We start from the raw sequence: 25,919 nt of genomic DNA, 5'->3' as shown, positions 1-25,919 counted from the left end.
AAATTAGCTCAAAATGGATCATTGGCTTAAATACAAAATATGAAAGTATACAACTTTTAGAAAAAAATAGGTTAAAATCTTTAGGATCTAGGGCTAGGCAATCAGTTCTTAGACTTGACACTGAAAGCATGATCCATAGAAGGAAAGATTGATAAATTGGGCCTTATTTGTTCTGTGTAAGACTCTTGTTAAGAGAGAATGGAAAGACAAAGCTGCAGGCTTGGAGAAAATATTTGCAAACCATATCTCCTGCCAAAAAAAAAAACAAAACAAACAAACCCCCAGTGTCTAGAATATATAAATAACTCTTAAAACCTAACTGCAAAAAATAAACAATTCAATTAGGAAATGAACAAAAGACAAGAAGAAACTTTTTACCAAAGAAGATATACAGATGACAAATAAGTACAATGAAAAGACGTACAACATCATTAGGCATTAGAGAGATGTAAATTAAAATCACAATAAGTTATTACTACACACCTATCAGAATGACTAAAATAAGAAAGTAACAACATCAAGTGCTGGTGAGGATGTGAGGAAACTGGATCACTCATAATATTGCTGATAGGATACACAAAATTGTACAGCCACTCTGGAAAAAAAACAGTGTGGCAGTTTCCTATGAACCTAAACATGCAATTACCATACGACCCAGCAATTGCACTCTTGTGTATTTATCTGAGAGTGATGAAAACTTATGTTCCAACAAAAACCTGTACATGAATGTTTGTAGCAACTTTATTGGTGGGCCCAAACTGGCAACATCCTGAATGTTCTGCAACTGTCAGTGGTGAAATTAATTGTACACATATATACCTAGAATCCTACTCAGCAATGGAAAGGTATGATACATGAAATAATCTGGCTGAATCTCCAGGGAATTTTTCTGCATCAAAGAAAACTAATGCACATAGGTCACAAGTGAATACCTTTATATAAGATTCTTGACATGACAAAATTATGAAATGGTTGCCCGGAGTCAGGACTTGGAGTTGGGGATGGGTGCGGAAGGAGTTTGGTTGTGTCTATGAAAGGACAACAGAAGGCATCCTTGTGGTGATGGAATTGTTTTATATTTTGACTGTGTTAATGTTAATATCATGGTTGTGATTTTGCATCATATTTTTGCAAGATGTCACTACTATGACAATGTGGCTAGAGAGTACATGGGATCTCTATGTATTATTTCTTACAACTGCATGTGAATCTACAATTATCTCAAAATAAAAAAAATTTAATTAAAGAAAAACCCTTTACTCATTATTTTGGCTGATTAGTAGACAACATATGACTTCCAGCCCTAGTGATTTTGATTTAACTGGTGGGGTCCGTGTCTGTACTTTTAGAAAGATCTTCAGGTGGGTCTGCTATGCAAACAGAATTGAGGACCTCAGCAAAGCTGCAAACAAATCTCTGCACTTAAAAGTACAGGATGTTATCCAGGAGTGTTTTAGGTTGTGTGTGATACTTGTTACAGGCATTTGACTCTGTAAGTCTGTGACCTGATCCCAGAGGACCAGTATCACTTACTCAACTAAGAACCTCTTAACTGAGAATGTCAGAGATACTTATATGTCTATAGATGTCTTAATATTTTTTCCTTCAAAATAAGTTTTACTGTAATTCCACTCCACTTCTCTAGGGTCTATCCAGCTTTTATTTCAGATACCTGTTGAAATAATTACTTTCCTTACTTGTAGTTACTGCAATTTCGTCAGCAAGGATGCAGCCCTTGTTCATTTGTGCTTGTATATTGCCGTTAGTCCTTTTGTTCTCTTTTCTTTTTAAAATGGGCCCTGGCTAGACAATAAATTCTATGTGTAAACAGACCATATGCAAGTATCTTTGCATGGTAGCTGCAGAATCCTTCCTATTAAAAAAAAAAGACAAATTCACACATGAGATTCCTCTTTTGTGTGCATGTTGCTTATGATCAGAAACTACAGTAAACTGTTATCTCATTAATAAGTTTAATATTTTATTTTTCAAAAGATCCACTTTGTGTCCTTTTTAAGTAGATAATCACGCATTTCTTTTTTTTTTTTTTTTTCTGCTTCAGCTACCTTTAAAGAATTATCTGGGAAAACCCCACTAATAATAGTTTTGTATTTGCTTCTGAAAATGACAAACTCTTGTTTGATTTTTCTAATGGCCACTGAATTCTATGTTGCATTTTGAAGATTATTTATTTGATGAGCTTACTAGAACACCTAGCATATAGTAGGCATTCAGTGATGGTTATTGAATGAGATTAACAGCTATTTAGTGATAACTGGTGTGTACCACCACTGTTTGGTATTCTGGCCGGTTCTATGTTCATGTAGCTTTCAATTTTGTGGTACATTATTTATGCATAATGACAGCTGTCCAAGACTTGTTATAATATCCTACTTATGAACATGATGGAAACTCTTTCTCAAATGTATTTGGCATTTGTCTGTGTGTGTTTTTAACTGTACCCTGTCTTGGTGCCTTCTGTCTTTGCCTTTGTCTCTTTTTCTTAAGTCTCAATGACATTGTACACCAGTTATTTATGGTTCTGGTAATTCAAGACAAATAGTGAGGTATGTAGGCTTGTCCTTAAATAAAGTTAGTCCTGATAGTTGTGCCTTTTGACTGTACTTTCTCCCATTTATGACTTCAAGTGCACAGACTATGTTTGCTTATAACAGACACTCATTACTGATCAATATTAACCCCTTTATTTTAGTTTATTACTTTTCTTTCATACTGCCTGCATTCTTCTTCTTGCATTGAATATGTATGTAAAGTATTTAATATATGTCCTTACAGTTTCCTCTCCATCACCTTATTTAGATATATGTATATCCTTGAAAAAAAGATCGGCTGCTTTTTTTTTTTTTTGAGGCAGAGTCTCGCTCTGTCACCCAGGCTGCTGGAGTGCAGTGGCACGATCTTGGCTCACTGTAACCTATGCCTCCCTGGTTCAAGCGATTCTCTTGTCTCAGCCTCCTGAGTACCTGGAACTACAGGCACCTGCCACCATGCCCAGCTAAATTTTTTTTGTGTGTTTTTAGTAGAGATGGGGTTTCACCATGTTGGCCAGCCTGGTCTTGAACTCCTGACCTTAGGTGATCCACCCACTTCAGTCTCCCAAAGTGCTGGGATTACAGGCGAGAGCCACCGTGCTTGGCCCAGCTGTTTTATTATATATTTTTAACAAATACTTACATAGCATTTTTCAAATCCCAGACACTGTTTTAAGCTTTTAGCAACATTAATTTATCGGATCCTCCCAAGAACCCTGTGTGGCAAGTACTGCTATCCCTCTTGGCACAGAAAGATTAAGTAATTTGCCCAAGGGTATGTAACTCATAAGTGTGGAGCCAGGATTTCAGCTGAGGCTGTCTGGTTCTAGAGTCCACACCTCCTTGACCAGTATAATAAGCTCCCTCTCCATTAATGCTGAAGTATTGTGCTATAAATCCTGCTTGGTTCTTTCCTCCTTTTCCATGTTGCCATGTGTACATAAAATTCATAATCTTTAATTGCTACTTGATATTCTGTTTTAAGCATACGCCACATTTTCAACTTTATTAAGTTATAATATATATAATAAGATAATGTCATTTTAAATGTATAGTGAGTTTTGACAAATGAATACATTTTTGTAACCAACATCACAATCAATATATAGAATATTCCCTTCACCCCAAGATGTGAAGGAGTACCCTGGTACCCCTTACCAGTAAATCCTGCTTCTGGCTGCATGAAATCACTGATCTTTTTGTCACAGTGGATTCATTTTTCCTAAACTAGATTTTGTATAAATGGACTTATACAGTATACACTTTTTGAGTCTGGTTTCTTTTGTTCAGCTTGTTTTTGAGACTCATTTATGCTGTTGTTTGAATGACTAGTTCATTTCTTTTTATTTCTGTGCAATTTTTCTTTGTGGGAATATACCACAACTTGTTTATCCATTCACCTGTTTATGGATATTTTCGTTGTTTCTAGTTTTTGACTAGTATCATTAAAGCTGGTATATACATTTATGCACAAGTCATTGTGTTGTCATGTTTTCTTTTCTCTTGGTAAATACGTAGGAATGGAATTCCTGAGTCTTGTGATAAGTATATAATAACTTTATTTCTAAAACTGCCAAAATGTTTTATAAAGTGATTGTGTGACAGTCTCACCAGTAACAAATAAGAGTTTGAGTTCCTTCACATTCTTGACAACACTTGGAATATTGTCAGTCTTTTATTTTTAAGCTTTTTATTTTGAAATAGAGTCATAGTTGCAAAAATAATGCTGAAAGGTCCTGTGTTTCTTTTACCCAGTTTTCTCCAGTGATAACATCTTGTGTAATTTTAGAACTGTATCAAAAGCAGGGAAGAGATGTTGGTACAATCCACAGACCTTATTCAGATTTCACTAGTTTTATATGGATTCATTTCAGTGTACATGTATATATAGTCCTATGGAATTTGTCACATTTGTAGATTCATGCAAACACCACCATAATCAAGATGCAGAACTTTCCTGTTATCCCAAAGATTCCTCATTCTAGCCCTTTATATTCTTATGCATCCCTTTTGGCTCCCTTTTCTCCATTTCCTCTCCACTTTTGTGGGCCCTTGGCAACCACTAATCTGTTCTTCATCTCCATAATTTTGCCATTTAGAGAATATTATATAAGTGAAATCATATAGAATATAACCTTTTGAAGTTGGCTTTTTCACTCAGTGCAATGCCTTTGATATCCATCCAAGGTGTTGTGTTACATGTATTGAGAGTTCTAGTTTTTTGCATTTCATTGCTGAGTAGTATGGCTATAACACAGTTTATTTAACCATTCAGCCAGTAAAAGACATTTGGATTGTTTTTAACTTTTGATTATTACAAAAAAAGTCTGTTATGAATATCTATGGGCATGCTTTCTTGTGGACAGTTCCCATTTCTCTGGGATAAATGCCTAGTATTGTGAGTGCTAAGTGTGTACTAAGTGTATGTTAAATTTTGTTTTCTATTTTTTTTTAAAGAAAATTTCTAACTATTCTCTGGGGTGGCTGTACCATTTTATATTCCTACCAGCAAATGTATGATTTATATAATTTCTTCATATCCTTACCAGCATTGGGATTACCATTTTTTAAAGCTATTCTAACAGTTGTGTAAAGATACCTCATTTTAGTTTTAATTTCGATTTCCTAATTATCTAGTGATGTTGAACATCTTTGTGTGTGCTTATTTGCCATTTTTATATCCTCTCTGGCGAAATGTCTGTTTGTGTCTAGTATTATCAGTTTTTAACTTTAGTCGTTTTAATTTCATGTATTGGTATTTCACTGTGGTTTCAGTTTTTGCTTTTCAGATGAATTAGGATGTGAGCATCTTTTCAAATGCTTATTGACCATCTTCTTTTGTGAAGTATCTGTTCAGATTATTTTGCCCATTTTAACGATGGTTTATTGGTCTTATAAAGTTATGAGTTCTTCACATCTTGATATTACTCCCTTGTCAGATATACTTATTGCAAATATTTTCTCCTATTATATAGATGGCCTTTTTCATTTTTAAATGATGTATTTTTAAGAGTAGAAGCTTTTCATTTTTATGAATTTCAGTGTAGCAATTTGTTTCTTTCATTTTTAGTGCTTTTTTTTTTTTTTTTAACATTCTTTCTAATAAATCCTTTCCTACTCAGAATTCATGAAAATTTTCTTCTATGTGTTCCGAAAGTTTTATAGTGGTAGGTTTTATATTTGGGTATAAAATCCATTTAGAGTTAATTTTTGTTGATATGCCACATTTTTATTATCGAACCTCCAAGTGATTGTTACTTTGGATTACTATCATAAATAACACTGACAAAATTTCATTATACATAGCTCCATGTGATATGTGGAAAAGTATCTCTAGGTGGTTTTATATATATATAAATTTTACTTGTGTATGTAAAATGGTAGTACAATGGTTGCACACATTTATACGCCTGCTAGAACAGCCAGAGAGTTTTGTTGGCTTTATTTGGACTTCTTATGAATAACCGTATAATAAGATTTCTCCTTCTTTTTCACTGGCTTCCCAATTCATATTTCATGTGTATTGTTTGCTGCATGCTTCTCTGTGACAGTCTTGTGACTCTTTTCCATTTTACTTATTCTAATCTTTTGTGGAAAGGGAAACCTGCACTCTTAATCTGTTCAACTTGTGTCTAAACTATGAGTATACAGTCTATGTGTGAAGGCTTTAGGGCTGTACCACAATTTCAGTACTTAAGCTTTGTCATATGTGTTTTGCCAACTTACCACCCTTTTATCTCCTTTTTGGTTCTTATCTGTGGTCCTTGTTTATCATGATACTGCATTGGGGACCTCAGGCAATATATCAACACATAAAATTAAGTGCCAAATTGTGTGAAGACAGTTTTCTAATATAGTTATGAATGCTATGTAATTTTAGATGAAAATACATATGAGCAGATGGTGAAGTAAGTAGTAACTTCAGTACCTTGTTACAGGTCACACCTTGAAAGTCTCCTATCTAGTAAAGGACAAAACCATCATGTTACAAATATGCTGCAAAATGCTGTAATATGCAGTTTGAAACTTCACATATTATCAGAAAACTTGTATCGAACAGATGTTTCAAGTCATAAGGGCTGCAGTATAAGCCAGTTAAATTTACATAATGATTTCATAGGCTAAAATATTAGTTTTCTTCTCAGTTATTGAAAAGTCCATTTATTGCTACATTATACTTAGCTGGGGTAAGAAATACCCATACTAATCTTCACTCTGAAATACTGACTGAGAAAATTACATATGAAAATAAAATATTTCTTTTTTTAGTTTTTGCTAAGTCCTTTGAAAATTAATATTAGTTATGAATTATATTTATAGAAACTGTCACTTGCATTACATGGCGCTTGCATCTGGTGAGCATTATTTCACAGTATCAGCAATTTAGTTTGAATCTGTCCTTGCCAGTTTTGGTATCAACACTGGAAAATACTAGGAAATCATTGTGAGTCATTGACAAGGTCCTGATGGTTTTGTTGCCACGGTTGCTCAAAATTTATAATCTTTTCTTCTTGTTTCACTGATAGATTCGTGTTTAAATTATGTAAACATTAAAACACGGAAAAAGAATTACAGCCTAGATATAAGGGTTATTTTTACTTATAGCTCTGTATGTAAATTAAAACTACATTGTTTTGAAAAAACTTCCATTGAACGATCATTTTTCTCACCATGTTTACTTTTGTTTGACAAGTTTTGGTTAATTTCTAGAGCTATATACTGCTCATTCTGGTTTTCCTGAGACAGTTTAGGTTTATGCCCATGTTCCTGGTGTAATTATTGAGAAAAATCTGTTTAACTCAAAGTAAATTATGCCTTATAATACATCTCTCAAATCAATATACTTTTGTTAGCCCTGGGCTCTTGTTCTGATTTTGCCACCAACTAGCCATATGACTATGGGTAAAGAAAATAACCCAAACTTTAAGTTTCTTCATCTGTAAAGTGAAATGGTAAGGGTAAATGATCTCTGAATATTCTTGAATGCTTTTAAGATTAATGTTTCTTTGATGTTTAGTTGCTTCTAATATAGCAGTGGTTTAGAGCAGTGACTTTCAAAGAAGTTTATTCTGTTTTACTATTTATGGTCTTTCTCTGTTCTATTAATATCCTATTAAAATAAATGCTAGTGATGACCTACTAACTTGATTGCATGATCAGAATAGGGTTGGGTTGAAATCTATATCTTGATTTATGTATTCCTGAGTATCATTCTTAATTTGTTACACTGAACAGTTATTTACCTTCTCTAAGCTTCAATTTCCCCATTCACTTGTGGTAAAGTGTTCTGAGGATTAAATGAGATAAGGTGTATAAGGTGTTTAGCAGAGCACCTGGTGTATGGAAGAAATTGCATGTTAGCTCTCCTCTTATTTATTCACGTTGTGAATGTGACTTCTCTCTGCTAAGATTACATTACATAGAATCTAATACATGGAAAGTTTTTTGAACCACATTGTTAAAAATATTTTAAAACTACAGATAATATTATATCCTTGTCAATCAGCAATTTTGAAGCATATCCGTAAGTGCTTTGTCAAACAGTAGTTATATTTTTATAGTAGTTTTGTGAAGGAGGTACGTATTTGGTTTGCTAGCTGCGTAGACTCCCCACCAAGAGGTCAAATGTCAGGAAAGTCGTTGAAAAAAATACATTATTAATTTTTTGCCCTGTTCTACTTAGGATTTTCATCTTGTTTTTCATTTGAAATAATATGTAGCTTCTTTATATTGAAACCTATATGCCTTTTAAAAACATTAGAATCAAAAATTGCTCTCACAAAAAGTGAAAAGGATTAATATTTTGATTATCTTTGGAGCAGTAAGCTATTCTTTTCTAAAATAAAATACTAAATTTATACCTGATCAGTCTTTTGGTCTAATGCTCAATCAATACACTGGGGAAAGAGCCGAATTCAGGGGTTTGGTTTCTAAGTTTATTTTGCTCATACTGGGTTATCATTTTTTGAGTTTCCCTGCACTTCTTAGGTGTACACCATTGCTTATATCTCATGTCCTTGCTGCTGCTCTGACTGAAAAGCAGGATGGTGAGGTATATGCTAAGAGTTAAGTCTTTTGACTTATTATTTTGACCAGCCTTTCATCCTTCATATTGAGTTTCATTCTATAGAGGAATGAGCTCTCTTGGCCTTTACCATTGTGCTGTGAAAGTAGTTCAAAGTGGTTATAATGGTTGTTCCATAAAGAAGATAAAATAATGAATATATATAGTATTATGCAGAGCACGTATCACTCTGCCATATTCTTTCCATTATTAACTCAATTCATTTTTCATGATAACCCTGGGAAGTAGGCATTATTATTCTCCAAAAAATGTTCAATATTTGCCACAGTCCTGAAACTAGTAAATGGCAGAGTTGAAATCTAAACCCACCTGGCCCACCCTGGGAAGTTTGTGGAAGTAGATTCTGAATAATACTCTCTAGATGACAGTCTTTAGCCTGATGTTTTTCCTTTTCATTAGTGACACATAATATGTCAATTTCTTTGAACCAGGCTAGGATGCCAGTACTCTGGAAAACAAAAAGAGGATTACACTTCAAAAAAAAAATCATGGCAAGTTGGAAGAACTAGTACATGTAAACTGAGTACATTTACATCTACTGAATATAGCTCTGTAGAAATGTGTGCAGGGTAATTCACATAGGGAGGAAAAACAAACTGTACAAATGTAAGAGGATAACATTAAGAGGCTGCCAGGCAATTCCCTTTTTCTCCTGAAGCCCTGGTCATGATTTTATTATGTAGAATTTGGAGAGAATCCAGAGGAATCCAACAGAAATTATTAAAAGGTTTGAGAAATCTGCTATGTGATGAAAGTCTAAAGGATTGGGTTTATTTAGCCTAGAGAAGTGAAGTCTGAATAGGGACTTAATTACAGTCTTCAAGTTCAGTGAAATCATAGACACAGAGGCCATGAGTGGTTCCCAGGACGATTGTCTTTTGACAGGCATTTTTGAATATGGTTGTTTTCTTGGTTTCACTGTGTGTGAAGAGATATTATATGAGTGATGATGAGCAGCTGTTCTTTCTTCACTGCAGGGGGACAGGCAAGAAAGAGCTTAAATCACCACAGTAGTGATTTAGGTAGAACTTTTCAAATATCCTTGGAAGCTTGTGGAGATTCCTTTAGCAAAGCCTTTTTGTTTTGTTTTAGTTTTATTTTCAATGGACAGATAACTGTACATATTTATGGGTACAATATTATGTTTTGATACATGTTTACAATGTGGAATGATTAAATCTGTTAATTAACAAATCCTTCCTCTAATATACTTGTCATTTTTTTGTGGTGAAAACATTTGAAATCTACCTTTTTAGTAATTTTGAAATATGCAATGCATTATTATTTATTATAGTCACCATTTTGCATCAGATCACTAAGGCTTATTCCCTCTAACTGAAATTTTGTACCCTTTAATCACCATTTTTCTCATCCTTTTCCTGTGGCCCCTGATAACCATCATTATATTTTGTGTGTAGACGGCCAGGTTTTGGTGGAATGGATTTTAAACTGAAGGAAGAAAAAAGGTACATTACTCCTTATACCAGGTTAAAGGTAAACATTTTTTTAGATGCTTTCACTCTAAGCTCTGTAAAAGTACAAGGACATCTGTCAAAAGTAAGACTGGATGGTAGGTATTTTAATGTTGTAATTAGGAGACTCATTCAGTTTGGTAGAACTCCTTAGGGACTCTGTGAGATGTTTGTGGGCCATCGCCCAGGAGGGCCCTGCCCTTTGAAAAAGAAGACATTTAGATGATGGGAGCTGCTGCTGCAACCACTGGTCTTCTGCAAAGGCTTCTTGGTGTTTCTTGTTGAACTTTTTTTTTCCCTCAAAAGATCTTTTCTGATTGAATCACCCCAAATTGCAAGATACTATCTGTGTCTTTCCACTGCCTCTTTTTATCTAGAAATGATATCCATTTCTTAAGCAGCTGGCCTCATTTGGATTTTAAGGGAGGGAGTGGTTTCTAATTAAAGTCACATAGTAAGGTATGAAATGCACATGAAGAACTTCTATAGGATCTTTATTTGAACACACTTCCTTCTTTCCTCCCACAAATATTTACAGAAATCCTGCTAGGTGCCAGGCATTATTCTAGGTATAGTGAATATAAAGCAGACAAAAATCTCTACTGTTTTGGAGCTTGCATTCTAGTTGGGAGGTGGATAGAAAATTAGATATATATATATGTGTGTGTGTGTGTGTGTGTGTGTGTGTGTTTGTATATATATATATAGTGAGAGAGAGAGAGAAAGAGAGACAGAGTATTAAATAGTGATAAGTGCAATCAGAAAACATGAAGCACAAAAAGGGGATTTATACAGGGTCAAAAGTTCAATTTGCAATAGATTCATCAGAAAGGCCTCACATATCTGTGTATCACAGATATTTCTCAGTTGCCTATTTTGGGCTTCTGCTTCTTTTCTCCCTTGCTTGACAGAAATAGGAACTGGCAGCTTGGCACACACTACTTCTACAAGGTTGCTGACCTCTGACATAAGTAGGGTCTGTAGGATTTAAATCATTCATTTTTTTTTTTTTTAAAAAGAAGTCAATCATGCTTAAATAAACACAGATTATATTTTAAAATTACATCTGAAGGCATTTAAAACATTCCAACGAATATACAAATATGATCAGAATTTACCAAGTATATAGGCAGTCTATTTACCTTCTTCTATATATTTAGAATATTTCTCCTAATTTTTCTTATTCCTCATATTATGTGTTGCACAGTGAGGGATTTTTGTAAAGGGTGATAGGCAATGGAGTATGAAAGGATTCAACAGCCCCACTCCCAGGAAATCCACTTAATGCACATGATACCTAATGGTGGATCAATAGCATGATGTTTGTATTTGAAGAAAAACTCTTATAAAACAAAATTAAGAATGATGTGGACTTACTGCTGTGAGCATGGGAAGCAATTAAACTATGTCCTTCTTTTCTATGTGCAGTGGCAGACTGGGGAGAAGACACTACCAGATAATAAGTAGGTTTGAAATTTGCAATAAGAATGTGAGTGATTTGAATAGAGTGAGACTCAATTCAAGGCTTTGCTTTTGTGGTGGGGATGTTAAGAGAGTGTTAACTTCACTACTAGGTTTTATGTTCATTAATCAAATTCCAATTCAAATGGCCTTTAAATTTATGTAAAACCTGGAGCTGTGTCAACATCAAAATTTCCGTGAGGTCACAGAAGGCTTAAAACACAACAACCAAGCATAAGAACAGTAGGTATACTGAGGCTGGAGAAAAGTTTGAGCTGGGGAGGCAGAGCCGAGATCGCGCCACTGCACTCCAGCCTGGGTGGCAGAGTGAGACTCCATCTTAAAAAACAAAACAAAACAAAACAAAATAGAACAGTAGGTATAAAGTTTATTTCTGGGTCTACAAAATAGCTTGGATCTCTTTCCTAAAATTTTCAGAATTGGCCTTTTGATTTATATATCCCTTTGAAGCGACAGAAAGAATAACTTGAGATAATTTGCTCATTATAATTTCAGGTCCAGGTTCAGTTCATCATGATAACGATTACCTTACAAATTAAGCACTAAATCTTACCATAGCATTCAAGATCATTCAGAATTTGCCACCAACTTGTCTTTCCAGGCTTTTTTTTTTTTTAATTATACTTTAAGTTCTGGGGTACATATGCAGAATGTGCAGGTTTGTTACCTAGGTGTACACATACCATGGTGGTTTGTTGCACACATCAACCCATCATCTACATTAGGTATTTATCCTAATGCTGTCCCTTCCCTAGCCCCCCAACCCCCTGACAAGCCCCCATGTGTGATGTTCCCCTTCCTGTGTCCATGTGTTCTCATTGATCAGCTCCCACTTATGAGTGAGAACATGTGGTGTTTGGTTTTCTGTTGTTGTGTTAGTTTGCTGAGAATGATGGTTTCCAGTGTCATCCATGTCCTTGCAAAGGACACGAACTCATCCTTTTTTATGGCTGCATAGTATTTCATGGTGTATATGTGCCACATTTTCTTTATCCAGTCTATCATTGATGGGCATTTGGGTTGGTTCCAAGTCTTTGCTATTGTCAACAGTGCCGCAATAAACATATGTGTGCCTGTGTCTTTCTAGTAGAATGATTTACAATCTTTTGGGTATATGCCTAGTAATGGGATGGCTGGGTCAAATGGTATTTCTGGTTCTACATCTTTGAGGAGTCGCCACACTGTGTTCCACAATAGTTGAACTAATTTACACTCCCACCAACAGTGTAAAAGCGTTCCTATTTCTCCACATCCTCTCCAGCATCTGTTGTTTCCTGACTTTTTATTGATTGCCATTCTAACTGGAGTGAGATGGTATCTCATTGTGGTTTTCATTTTCATTTCTCTAACGACCAGTGATGATGAACTTTTTTTCATGTTTGTTGGCTGCATAAATGTCTTCTTTTGAGAAGTGTCTGTTCATACCCTTCGCCCACTTTTTGATGGGGTTGTTTTTTCTGGTAAATTTGTTTAAGTTCTTTGTAGATTCTGGATATTAGCCCTTTGTCAGATGGATAGATTGCAAAATTTTTCTCCCATTCTGTAGGTTGCCTGTTCATTCTTTTTCTGTGCAGAAGCTCTTTAGTTTAATCAGATCCCATTTGCCAGTTTTGGCTTTTGTTGCCATTGCTTTTGGTGTTTTAGTCATGAAGTCTTTTCCCATTCCTGTGTCCTGAATGGCATTGCCTAGATTTTCTTCTAGGGTTTTTATGGTTTTAGGTCTTAGGTTTAAGTCTTTAATCCATCTTGAGTTAATTTTATTAACAAATAACCTAAATCCACCAAATACGAATTTCTTTCATAGAATATCTCTTCCCTTTGACCACATCTTTATTCCTGCTTATGGCTGCATATCTACAATTGAATGTGATCTCTGCTGTCTTTGAAACTCTCATAGCACATTGTTTAACATATATCTTAGTGCATTGGAAACAACAGTAAGAACGAAAACCAGCCAAAAAAAATCTGTAATAAATTACAAGAGAATCGTCATGTGACTCTTAGAAATGTAATGTTGGTAATTTTTGATGTTTACCTATGCAAGGCATTTCATTATTGAGCTTATGGAAACCCAGATTCTCTTTGATTGGAATTTGGATAGATTATATTTTCCAGCTTTATGAAGCAAGATTAAATGCTGCAAACTTTATAGACTCCAATATTTCTTTCTGTTGGTCCAACTATCCATCATGCAGAAGGGAGTCCGTGGAAGTTCTCCTGTCTGTGAAACTGCTTGAGGGCTATTTCAAAGGGCTGTCTTTTTGGCTTTACATTTCTAGTTCTCTGTAATTAGACTTATATACATTTTTTATTGGATAATCATCAATTCCCTCCAACTCTGGGCCCGAATCAGAATGTATGGCAGTTTTTAATTTCATAACAACTTTGAACAAAACTAGCAAGCCGACGTAGCCATTTTCATACTCAATACCTTGAGAAAAATATTGCCAATTTAAAGTATATTTTGTTTGTTTATTTTTTTTTTTTGGTGTGGATTCTTGATTTTGTGGAACAAAAGACTGTAAGTTACATCTGTATCCATGATATTAGTGCCATCCTTTGCCCTCCATCCATGGTGCCTTTACAAATCAGTTATGGTGTTTAATACAAAAGCCTTTATGGTGGCTTTACGTAGCAGTTATGATGCTTAATACCACAGTCAAAATCAGGGTTTGCAGATGTTTTCCTGATTGCTTAGTAAATACTTCTGAGCAGGTAAAGCAGGAATATGTACGTTTAGAGATTCATTTTGTATCGTAATGGCTTGGCACACTTAAGTGAGCAGGATATATGCTCCTTCTTATTTTTCTTCCCATGTAGAGAAAAGTAAGGTTGTTTCTTATGCTGGTATCATTAATTTATTACCACAGACAGGATTGAGGTGGGCTTTAAAGAACATTGTTTCTGATATCTAATTATTGGCTGTAAGAATGGTTTCATAGCACCTTCTCTAAAATCAATTGCAGAGATCCTCTGATATTTTATGGTTCATAGTAACAACCCCATGGAGCAAGTCATCTCACTTCTCTAGGGAGAGCACATTTTGCAGCCAGTTTATCTTGAAACATTGCCTAATTTGAATTATTCTAAGGGTGTCTTATCAAATGTTTTCTTTTACAGCATGGTGATTGGGAATGCCTGCCTTGGAAAGTGTGTATCCCTAAATCATTCTGACTAGGCTCTACATCTCTGGGACCTCAGTCACCCACTGATGGGTGTGTTAAAGAGGATCCATGACCATTTTCTGAGAGAAATCATGGCCTTCCTTTGCTTAGGAGTGGGGTACTCTCCACATGCTGCTGTTTTGTTTTCATGAAGTAATGCAAACCTGGTTGTTAATCTGCTAATTCTCTAAGTTCAATATGCCCTTAATTGACAACAGAGAATATTTATATTCCTGTTTTTTCTCGGAGACCACAATCTCAAACTCTATGCCACTTTGTCCTTATCAAAACGGTCTCTATGATAATATTTGCATAATATTTCTGAGGAATATGTAATCCGTTCATTCTGCTAGGGAGTAGACCTTTTCTTTTAATTCAAGCCACATCATCGTAGAGTTTTGGCCCTTTGAGAATTGCTTTTACTGAGTGGTAGTGTGGTGTAATCATTGACAGATTGAGGGTCATTAATACGCAATCTCAGTTAAGTCATTATTGCGTTGATCGTGGTGGAATGCTTAAGGAGATGGTCCATATATTACATAGTCTTTGTCTTATGAACAACCATAGGAGAAAGTTCTTAACTGTCCTGTCCCAGTGTCAGGAATAGCTAAACTTCTCCTGAGCAACTGTTGCTGAGAATCTTCTAACTGTTGGTTTTGATGCCAAGTGCATCTCTAACTGTACTTCTGTTAAACTTTTCGTGAACTGTCCTGACTCCATCTTCTTCTCTTATTATTTTTTCTTTATGTGTGCCTTCTCAATAATTAGTCTTTTTAGTGTTATACTGTATGTACTTCTGTAAGCTATCAAAAATCCTTTTGGAATCCTGTAGGTAATGAATGAAAAACAACATAACAACCTACAAGTGTAAGCTTTGATTGAACCTTCTTCCTTGGTTTTGGATTATAGTGACTGGTTTTCATACATAACCCCCCTACCAGATATGAGGACTTTCAGGGTTATTGTTGTCTCTCATTCTTTATCATGCAGAAGTATTAAGCACATTACTTTGTATTTAATAGTATCCCTGTGAATATTTTGCAGTACATAAATATGCATTTATTGAATCTAGATACTGTTGGGTATACAAATATGAATTAAGTGTGGTCTCTAGCCTCAGGAAATTGACTTACAGTTGGAGAGACACAAGAAAGACTGTGTTAAGTGCTATCATATGCTGTGGAAGTCTTGAGGAGGGAGAAATGAATTCTGATTGGTGAGGGTCTAGAGGATTTGACCAGGGGAATACTGCTTTGGGGAAGTCTGTTCTTAGCACTGAAAATTGAATTGCATGAGCATTTATGTAATTCTTGTATGATTCTGAATTGCTTTTTTTCTCCCTTAAGTTTCAATGATTCCCCTTTAAGCTAGTGTTCTGAAATTTAGAGAATACGCCCTTAATGATATCATGATTTCATAGACTTCAGTCCAAACTTGAAAACTTTAGTGTTGCCTCTTCCCTTCATTTTCTGATCATTTTAAAGGCTTTTCTCTGTTCAATCAGGTCTTTCCCAAGGAAACATTGCTAATTATTTTGTAAATGATGATTTCTGATTATTTTTGTTTTTGTTTTCCTCACAGGGTGTCCTGCTTAGATGATCATACGATTTTGAGGTCGTTTGTTAGGCTGTTACATTGTACTAAAAGCCCTCTGTAATTGCATCCTGATGGCCTTTCCTGCCTTGTGTTCCTTCATTTCCTCCTCATATGCCACACTGTTTCATGTCATAGGGTAAGCTATATCCTCTCTTTGCAAGGCCTTTATTATGTGATGCTGTCGGTGCAAACTCCTTTCCATTCTCCATGATCCTCTCATTCATCTGAGAAGCTCTTCCTTACCCTCAGCACAGTCACTCCACCCTGTGGCTCATGGCTGTAGACAAACAGCCTCATCAGTCCTTGTTTCACTGATGGCACATATTAATTTGCATTTCTCCCTTTTCATTAGATTTGAGCTCCTAGGTGGCCAGATCTGCATTTTGTTCTACTTTCTCCAATGCCTGGTAGAGTGAGTGTGTTTTCCTGTATTTGCAACTTTTTGTCCACCATAAAGATGGATAGTTTTGTAGTATTCCAAAAACCCCTTGAACTTTCATTGCTCACAGAGTACATTGTCATAGCTGAGCTAGAGATTTCACTCTGGATTTCTTTCCTCTATGGCAACACTTCATCCAGTTTTCTTTTTGCTCTCAGTGCCTGCAACCTTTCTTATTTGTGAAATTTTTAAAGCCCCGGGCTTATAGTCATTCTGAACTCTACTGACCTGTCTTTCCTCTTCACTCTTGCTACCCTTAAGCAAAGTCATTGTCAGCACTACGGTTTTCCCAAACATTCCTCCCTAAACTCTTCCACTTCTAAGAATCATGGATTTCCCTTCAAGTTTCCTTTCCATGAACTAAATACATTTTTTTTTTCTTGGCCAATTTCTCAGTCCTACTCCCTCTCTCCAAATGCTGGCTTCGTTTGTCTAACTGCCACAATGGGTGGCTGTAGTAATGTAGTAATGAAGGAGAAGAGGATGTTAAGGCTTCTTTCAGTGACATTAAAAGCTATGGAAACACAAGTTATGATTTTTTTCAGTTATATTGAATAGTCAGCAAGGCTAACTGAATTTGCAAACAAAAGAACAGTTCTTCAGTTTATGAGCAAAATATATCTAGAAGTTTTGTACTATTAGTGCAGTGAAAAAGTAACTGTTTTTTTTAGATGGCTGCAGTGTTCCCAGCATTGAGCCCGTAACTGTGGCAGAGCCATGAGAACTACAGGGTATTTTACCTGTCTTGAAAAACTTTTGTTATATATACTGAGGAGAAAATGGTAATATACATGAGTACTGTGACATAGAATATGATATGAAATGCAAATCTGATCATGTCTCTTTTTTTTTTTTTTTTTTTTTTTGAGACGGAGTCTCGCTCTGTCGCCCAGGCTGGAGTGCAGTGGCGGGATCTCGGCTCACTGCAAGCTCCGCCTCCCGGGTTCACGCCATTCTCCTGCCTCAGCCTCCCAAGTAGCTGGGACTACAGGCGCCCGCCACTACGCCCGGCTAATTTTTTGTATTTTTAGTAGAGACGGGGTTTCACCGTTTTAGCCGGGATGGTCTCGATCTCCTGACCTCGTGATCCGCCCGCCTCGGCCTCCCAAAGTGCTGGGATTACAGGCGTGAGCCACCGCGCCCGGCCAATCATGTCTCTTTTTACAACTTTAATGATGTCTTGTTACCCAAAGTAAAGCCCAGGCCCCTTGGAGTAGTGTTCTTGTTTATTAACAATCTGGCCCTAACCTCTTTTTCCAGCTCGTCTTCCTCGACTGCCATTCTCCTACCACATACCCTACATGCTAGCCACTCCTAACTGCTCATCATTTCAGATTTTATCATTCACTTCAACACCTCCCTGCTTTGGGAAGCTGCTTCCATGTTTTTCATTTTCTTTCTCCCTGTCTTTGCCACATAAATTCATATTCATCTTTCAAGACCTGCCTAAATGTTACTTCCTCTGTTCTGTAGTTTTCTTCTTTCTTGCATTTTCCTAGGTAGAATTAGTGTCAACTCTATATGCACATTTAGCTCCTTGCTAGCTCCCATTCTTGCATTTACCACAATGTTCTGTAATTGTTTTTCTTCTGATTCCCCTTTTGATTTCTTCTTTGACCCATTGGTTACATAGGAGTAGGTTAATTTCTACCTATTTATGATTTTTCCACATTTTTCCTGTTATTGATGTCTAATTTTATTCTATTGTGATCAGAGAACATATATTATTTTTATCCTTTTAATTCATTGAGGTTTTTTTATGGCCTAGAATATGATCTGTCCTGGAGCAGTGTTCCACATGTGCTTGAAAATAATGTATATTCAGGTGTTGTGGATGGAGTATTCTACTGATGTCTGTTAGATTAGTTGTTTATAGTATTGTTCAAGTCTCCTGTTTCCTTGTTGATCTTCTGTCTAGTTAGTGGTTCTATGCAATGTTGAAAGTGAGTTATTGGCCAGGCCATGGTGTCTCATGCCTATAATCCCAGCACTTAGGGAGGCCGAGGGGGTGAATCATATTAGCCCAAGAATTTGAGACCAGCCTGGCCAACATGGTGAAACCCAGTCTCTATAAAACACACAAAAATTAGCTTAGCATTGTGGCTCACGCCTGTGGTCCCAGCTACTTGGGAGGTTGAGGTGGGAGGATTGCCTGAGCCTGGGAGGTTGAGGCTTCAGTGAGCTGAGATTGTACCACTGATCTCTAGCCTAGGTGACAGAGAGACCCTGTCTTAAAAAGAAAAAAAAAATCAAAAAAAGAGTTATTTAAATTTCCAACTATTATTGTTGAATCATCTGTTTCTCCCTTCATTTCTGTCAGTTTTTATTTCAAATATTTAAGTGCATCATTATTGGCTGCATATATGTTTATCATTTCTATAACTTCCTGATTGATTGGCTCTTTTATCATTACAAAAGTTCCCTCTTTATTTCTGAACTGGGAATGGGGAGTAAGGGAGCAGTCTTGGTTCAAATACCATACTCTTCCCTTTCTTACCGAATTTCCATTTTTGTAAGAACAGATATTTCTTCATTTGCTGTCTGCTCTGAAGATCATTTGCCTTAAAAAATTTGTTTAACCAGTTTCACGGGAGACCAGAACAGTGGAGATCCTCATACTGTCATGCCAGAAGTTGATCTGTCACGCTTCTTTCTATAATTTTTTTATGTGTGTGCTTGTTTTCCATCATAGCCAATTAGTCTTATAAGCTTTATGAGGCTATGTTTTATTAATGTTTATTTGTCCACTACCTAGCACAATGCTTGAAATATTGAAGGTCAGCAATTCCCAATTATTTTCTCTTTTGGACACAGCTTTGAATACTGAAATTTTTCATGGTACACTTGAATGTATTTTAAAAAAAGAAAATAATACTAAATAACTTAGCAACAATTATGCTACATTTATTGCTATAGCTTAACAACATTTCATGATTTCTATAAAAACAACCTTAGTTGTCCTACCATTCCTGTGGTCTCTTTCCAGTACCCTGTCACCTTTAGAGAAGAGCTGTTTACTGCTCTGACTGATCTGTCTCTTCACTGTATGAAATCAAATTTGTTTGTTTTTGGTGCCACTTGATGTCATTTCCTATCCTTGACTTATAACAGAGTACCCCCATTTATATAATGCTGGTGTACAGAATGTTGGTACATTTTCTGATAAACGTGGATGTAATAATTTAATGTCTTCTTAGTTTTGACAAAAATAACTGGTTATTTTTTGGGTCAGCTTGGGTGATGGCACCTCTGTGAAGTTTACTATGCCTCCCAAGTGTCTCTGTTGGGTACTTAGTGTTTGGTCCTGTTGGATAAAATAAAGGTTAAATTATGAAGTATATAAAGTATAGACTTCAAATGCTATGGAAGTCTTCCATGTAACCTAAGCTGTGAGGTTTGTGACAGTTTCTTGACTTGCCACATTTTTTAGTCTCTGTATCCTATGTATTTAAGGGGTTACTAAATTTTATTGCCTTTATCTTCTGCAAGTTTCTAAATTTCAGTCCTTTCTTTCTGTCTTTCTTTCTTTCCTTCCTTCCTTCCTTCTTTCTTTCCTTCTCTTTCTTTCTCTCTCTCTTTCTCTCTCTCTCTTCTTTCTTTCTTTCTTTCTTTCTTTCTTTTTCTTTCTTTCTTTCTTTCTTTCTTTCTTTCTTTCTTTCTTTCTTTCTTTCTTTCTTTCTGTCTTTCTGTCTTTCTGTCTTTCTCTCTTTCTCTCTTTCTCTCTTTCTCTCTTTCTCTCTTTCTCTCTCTTTCCTTCTTTCTTTCTTTTCTCAGAGTCTCGCTCTGTTGCCCAGGCTGGAGTGCAGTGGCGTGATCTCCACTCACAGCAAGCTCTGCCTACTGGGTTCACGCCATTCTCCTACCTCAGCCTCCCAAGTAGCTGGGACTACAGGCGCCTGCCACCACGCCTGGCTAATTTTTTTGTATTTTTAGTAGAGACAGGGTTTCACCGTGTTAGACAGGATGGTCTCGATCTCCTGACCTCGTGATCTGCCTGCCTCGGCCTCCCAAAGTCCTGGGATTACAGGCCTGAGCCACCGCACCCGGCCAATTTCACTCCTTTCTTTGTTGTTCTTACTCAATCAGTTCTTATCCAAGCCTTTAAACACTTATTACTAAGTTTTTAGTAAGAGGCGCCTAATTTGTCTGTTTCTTTAGTCTGTGCTTTTGGGAAGTCATCCTGTACGTTACTTCCTAGACCAAGTTTCTCGGAAGACCAGTTCATCATGACATTTCCTTTTTTTGCTTGCCACTAATGTTTTCTAAAATGTTTGATGTGTACCAACCACTGTTTTAGGTACAGTGGTTCTGTGGTGAACAAGCTGGACAAAGTTTCTGCCTCCTTGGGCCTTCTGTTCTGTGTTGTGATAGGCAGTAAACAAGTATATAAAGGATATTCTCACACTGTGATAAGGGCTTTGGTAGTAATAAATACAATCTTGGGATAACTTAAGAGACCACCTTAGGTAGGTGAAGAGTGAAGACATCTGAGGAGATGTTATGTGAGCTGAGACCTGAAGGATGTGAATGAGCCATGCAGGAACTGGGAAAAAAGGACTTCATGCAGAGGGAACAACAAATGTGACGTCCCGGGAATAGGGAAGAGCTTGGCATGCTTGTAAAACAGAAAGGAGGCTGTGACAGCTAAAACATAATGATGGATGAGAATAATGAGACGATGTCGAAGGGAAAGCCAGATCATTTAGGGCCTTGCTAGAGTATGGCAAGGAGTTTTATTTTGTTTCAAGAGTCCTGTGAAGTCATTGATGGTGTTAAGAGGAGTGAGTTGACTTGTTTTTAAAAGATAGATAAATCCTGGCTTATTTGTGGAGAATAGTTTGAATAGGCAAGAGTAGAAGTAGGAGACTACTAAGAAGGTTGACACTAGTGGGTTAGTCAGCATTAAAGATGGAGAAAACTGGATAGGTCAAGATAGAGGTTGGAGATGGAGTCAATGCAATGAACTGGGCAATGCATTAAAAGCCCGAAATGTTTGTTCTCTATATGCTGCATCATGGACAAAATCCTTTGTATTTTGAAGTCTCTGTAACCTGGCCTCTTTATATGTCTGTTTATTTTCCTTTACACCCCAAGGTCCACTTTGTTCTTCAAGCAAAAGAGGTTATAATATAGTAATTAAAAGCACATGTTTTTGCACCCGACTTCCTGAGTTCAGATCTTTGCTTTGTCCCTTCCTATGTGATATCAAGTCAGAGAAATCTTGCCTTAGTTTCATAGATGACAAAACTGTAAAATTGAGACAATAATATTTAGAAAAAGGGTTTTCGTAATTCACTTAGGATCTCAAGATGGCATCCTTTGGCTAGTAGAAATAGCTTTTTAGTTGCTGCCTCAGTCTTCACATGGTCTTCTCTGTCTTTCTGTTTGTTTCTCCTTCTCTTCAACGGACTTGTCTTTGGATTAGGGCCCATCTTAATTCACAGTACTCTTATCTCAAGATCCTAAGTTAATTACAAAAAAGCTTTTTCCAAATAAGGTCATATTTACAGTTTCTGGAAGTTGGCACTTCGGCATATCATTTTGGGGGTTCACTATTCAACCCATTACAGTGAGCTTTTTGAATCAGGCTAAGACCACATTAGTTCCAACTTTGCTTTTATTCTTCTGTTTTATACATTTTACCCAATTTTGAAAATCTGGCGTAAACCTTATCACTTCCATAAAATAGCCTCTGCTGTATAAGATTTGTTATTGGGAGATAAAAAGTAAAATCAAATACAATAATGTTTTTCAATGTCTGTGATTATCAAAACTGCACAGAGGACCTGCTCTCAATAGACTACTTAGGTTAATTGATTTTTATGGATTATTTGGGTGGTTGAAATTTTTTTTTTCATGTTTCATGTCTTAAGGATTGGGAAAATATTTCATTCTCATAGAACTGATGACTTAGAAACCATTAAAATGAATATTTCTAATTCTGTTAAGAACAAGATATCTTAAAAGTTGGATTAGAGGTAGAGTTTTAAATCTAATTTCTGGGTACAAGTTGGGTGTAGATTTCAAGGAAATAGTTTTGATCACAGAAAACTAGATTACTTGTGTATGTGGGGAAGGTAGAGCAAGAACAATATATATGAGCTAGAAAATTATAAAACATGTTATTAACAAAAGATCATACTTTATTAGGTTTTCCTTTCTCACTTTCAGGGCTTAAAGATGAAAAAGTCTTCAGTTGGAGCGTTAATACAAATATGTGTAAATCATGCCTTATTACTGAGTTTCACAACTGGGGTGTGCAACTGATGTGTCTGTATATGTGTAGAGAGAAACTGGAATGATGTTTTAGTGAAGCATTGACAATGGTTATCTCTAAATGGTGACATTCATTTTTAAAACTATCTGATCTGACTGTGTTTTTTTGACAATAAAAGTGTGTCATTTTACAAAAACAATTGTTGGGAGTGGAGAAGAGATGAAGAGTTTGAGAGTGGCTGGAGCCCCCAGGCTAGTTCACTCCAGCTGCACATACAAACCATGTTTACTCATGTCTCATATAAAGAGTATAATTTTCTCTATATACCATAGGGCAGAAATTGTTGAGAAGCACTGTAAATGTGTATGTTAAAACTTTTCAAAGAAATTATTTGTTTGTATATTTGGGGATACAAGTGCAAGTTTTTTACATGTATGTGTTGTGTAGTGGTGAAGTCTGGGCTTTCAGTGTACCCATCACCCAAATATTGAGTATTGTACTCAACAGGTGGCTTTTTAGCCCTCACCCCTCTCCCATCCTCTCACCTTTCATAGTCTTCAGTGTCTTTTACTCCACGGTCCATATGTACCCATTGTTTAGCTCCCACTTATAAGTGAGAACATGTGGTATTTGACTTTCTAAGTTATTTCACTAAGGATAATGGCCTTCAGTTCCACCCATGTTTCTGCAAAAGACATGATTTTATTCTTTTTTATGGCTGAATAGCATAATGTAGTGTTACATATACTACATTTTCTTTATCCAGTCTTCTGCTGATGGGCACTTAGGTCGATTCCATAGCTTTGCTATTGTGAATAGTGCTGCAATAAACACACAAATTACAGTTACCATTTTTATATAATGATTTCTTTCTCTTTGGGTAGATACCCAGTAGTGGGATTGCTGGATGGAATAGTAGTTCTATTTTTAGTTCTTTGAGTAATCTCCATTCTGTTTTCCATAAAGGTTGTACTGAAATTCCTACAAGCGTTCCCTTTTCTGCTGCATCTTTGCCAACATCTGTTGTTTTCAGACTTTTTTTTTTTTTTTTTTAAATGAGACAAGGTCCCTGTCTGTCTCAGGCTGGAGTGTGGTGGAGTAATCTCGGCTCACTGCAACCTCCGCCTCTTGGGTTCAAACAGTTCTTGTGCCTCAGCCACCTGAATAGCCAGAATTACAGTGTTTTTAGACTTTTTAATAGTCATTCTGACTGGTGTAAAATGGTATCTCATTGTGGGTTTAATTTGCATTTCTCTGATGATTAGTGATTTTGAGCATTTTTTTGTGTGTGTTTGTTGGCTGCTTGTACGTCTTTTGGAAAATGTTCATTCCTTTGCTCACTTTTTAATTTTTTTTTTATCTTGTAGAGTTGTTTGAGTTCGTTGTAGGTTCTGGATATTAGCCCTTTGTCAAATGCAAATATTTTTTCCCATTCTATAGACTGTCTGTTTACTCTGTTGATTGTTCCTTTTGTTGTGCAGAAGCTTTTTAGTTTAATTAAATCCTATTTGTCTATTTTTAGTTTTGTCGCTTTTGCTTTTGAGAACTTGGTCATAAAGTATTTGCCTAGGCCAATGTCCGGAAGAGTTTTTCCCAAGTTTTCTTCTAGGATTTTCATAGTTTCAGATCTTACATTTAGGTGTTTAATCCATCTTAATTTTTGTGGATGGTGAAAGGAGGTATGGGTCCAGTCATTCTTCTGCATGTGGCTATTCATTTTTTCCAGCACCATTTATTAAATAAGGTGGCATTTTCCCCAGTGTATATTTTTGTTGACTTTGTTGAAAATCAGCTGGTTGTAGGTATGTGGCTTCATTTCTGGGTTCTCTATTCTGTTCCATTCATCTTGGTATCTATTTTAATATCAGTCCCATACTCTGTTGGTTGCTATAGCCTTGTAATATAATTTGAAGTCAGGTAGTGTGATGCAGCTAGCTTTTTTTCCCCTTAGGATTACTTTGGCTTTTTTTTTTTTTTTCGGTTCCACATGAATATTAGGATTTTTTTTTTCTAATTCTGTGAAAAATGACATTGGTAAAAGCCCAGGATCAGATGGGATCACAGCTGAATTCTACCAAATAATAAAGAAGAACTAATACCAATCCTCTTGGAACTATTCCAGAAAATTGAGGGGGAGGGAATTCTTCCTAACTTACTCTATGAGGCCAGCATCAACCTCATCCCAAAGCCAGATAAGGAGACAACAATAAAAGAAAACTGCAGACCAAAATCTCTGATGACCATAGACACAAAATCCTCAACAAAATACTAGCAAATAGAACACAACAGCACATCAAAGAGATTAATATACCATGATCATGTGGGATTTATCTCAAGGATGCAAGGATGCTTCGATATATGTAAATTGGTAAATCTGATACATTACAGACACAGAATTAAGGACAAAAACCATATGATCGTCTCAATAGATGCAAAAATTTCCTTCAGTAAAATTCAGCACCCCTTCATGATAAATATCCTCAAAAGACTAGGCCTTAGAAGGACATATCTCAACATAATAAAGAAAATATAAGACAAACCCACAGCTGACATTATACTTAATGGGGAAAAGTTGAAAGTATTAAGAAATAAGAGGCATCTAAATTGGAAATGAGGAAGTCAAATTATCCCTGTTTGCTGATGATATGATCTTATACCTAGAAAACCCGGCAGACTCCACTGAACAACTCTTAGAATTGATCAATGGATTCAGTAAAGTTTCAGGATACAAAATTAATATACAGGAATCAGCAGCATTTCTTTATACCAATAACAATCTAGCTGAGGACCAAGTCAAGAAGACAATCCCATTTACAATAGCTATTAAAAAATGCCTAGGAATATATTTAATCAAGGAAGTGAAAGATCTCTATATGTAGAACTACAAAACACTGATGAAAGAAATCATAGAT

General features: G+C 36.0%; 1 protein-coding gene across 26 annotated transcripts in view; it reads left to right on the top strand.

Moving 5' to 3' along the window:
* The window catches only part of IMMP2L (inner mitochondrial membrane peptidase subunit 2), an 899,849-nt gene that overhangs the window by 260,866 nt on the left and 613,064 nt on the right, over positions 1 to 25,919 (top strand). The window lies entirely within an intron of this gene.

The sequence above is a fragment of the Homo sapiens genome, chromosome 7, assembly GCF_000001405.40.
Source record: "Homo sapiens chromosome 7, GRCh38.p14 Primary Assembly".
Taxonomy (NCBI): Eukaryota; Metazoa; Chordata; class Mammalia; order Primates; family Hominidae; genus Homo; species Homo sapiens.
Note: the sequence above shows the minus strand (reverse complement) of the source record. Positions and strands in the feature narration are given on the sequence as shown.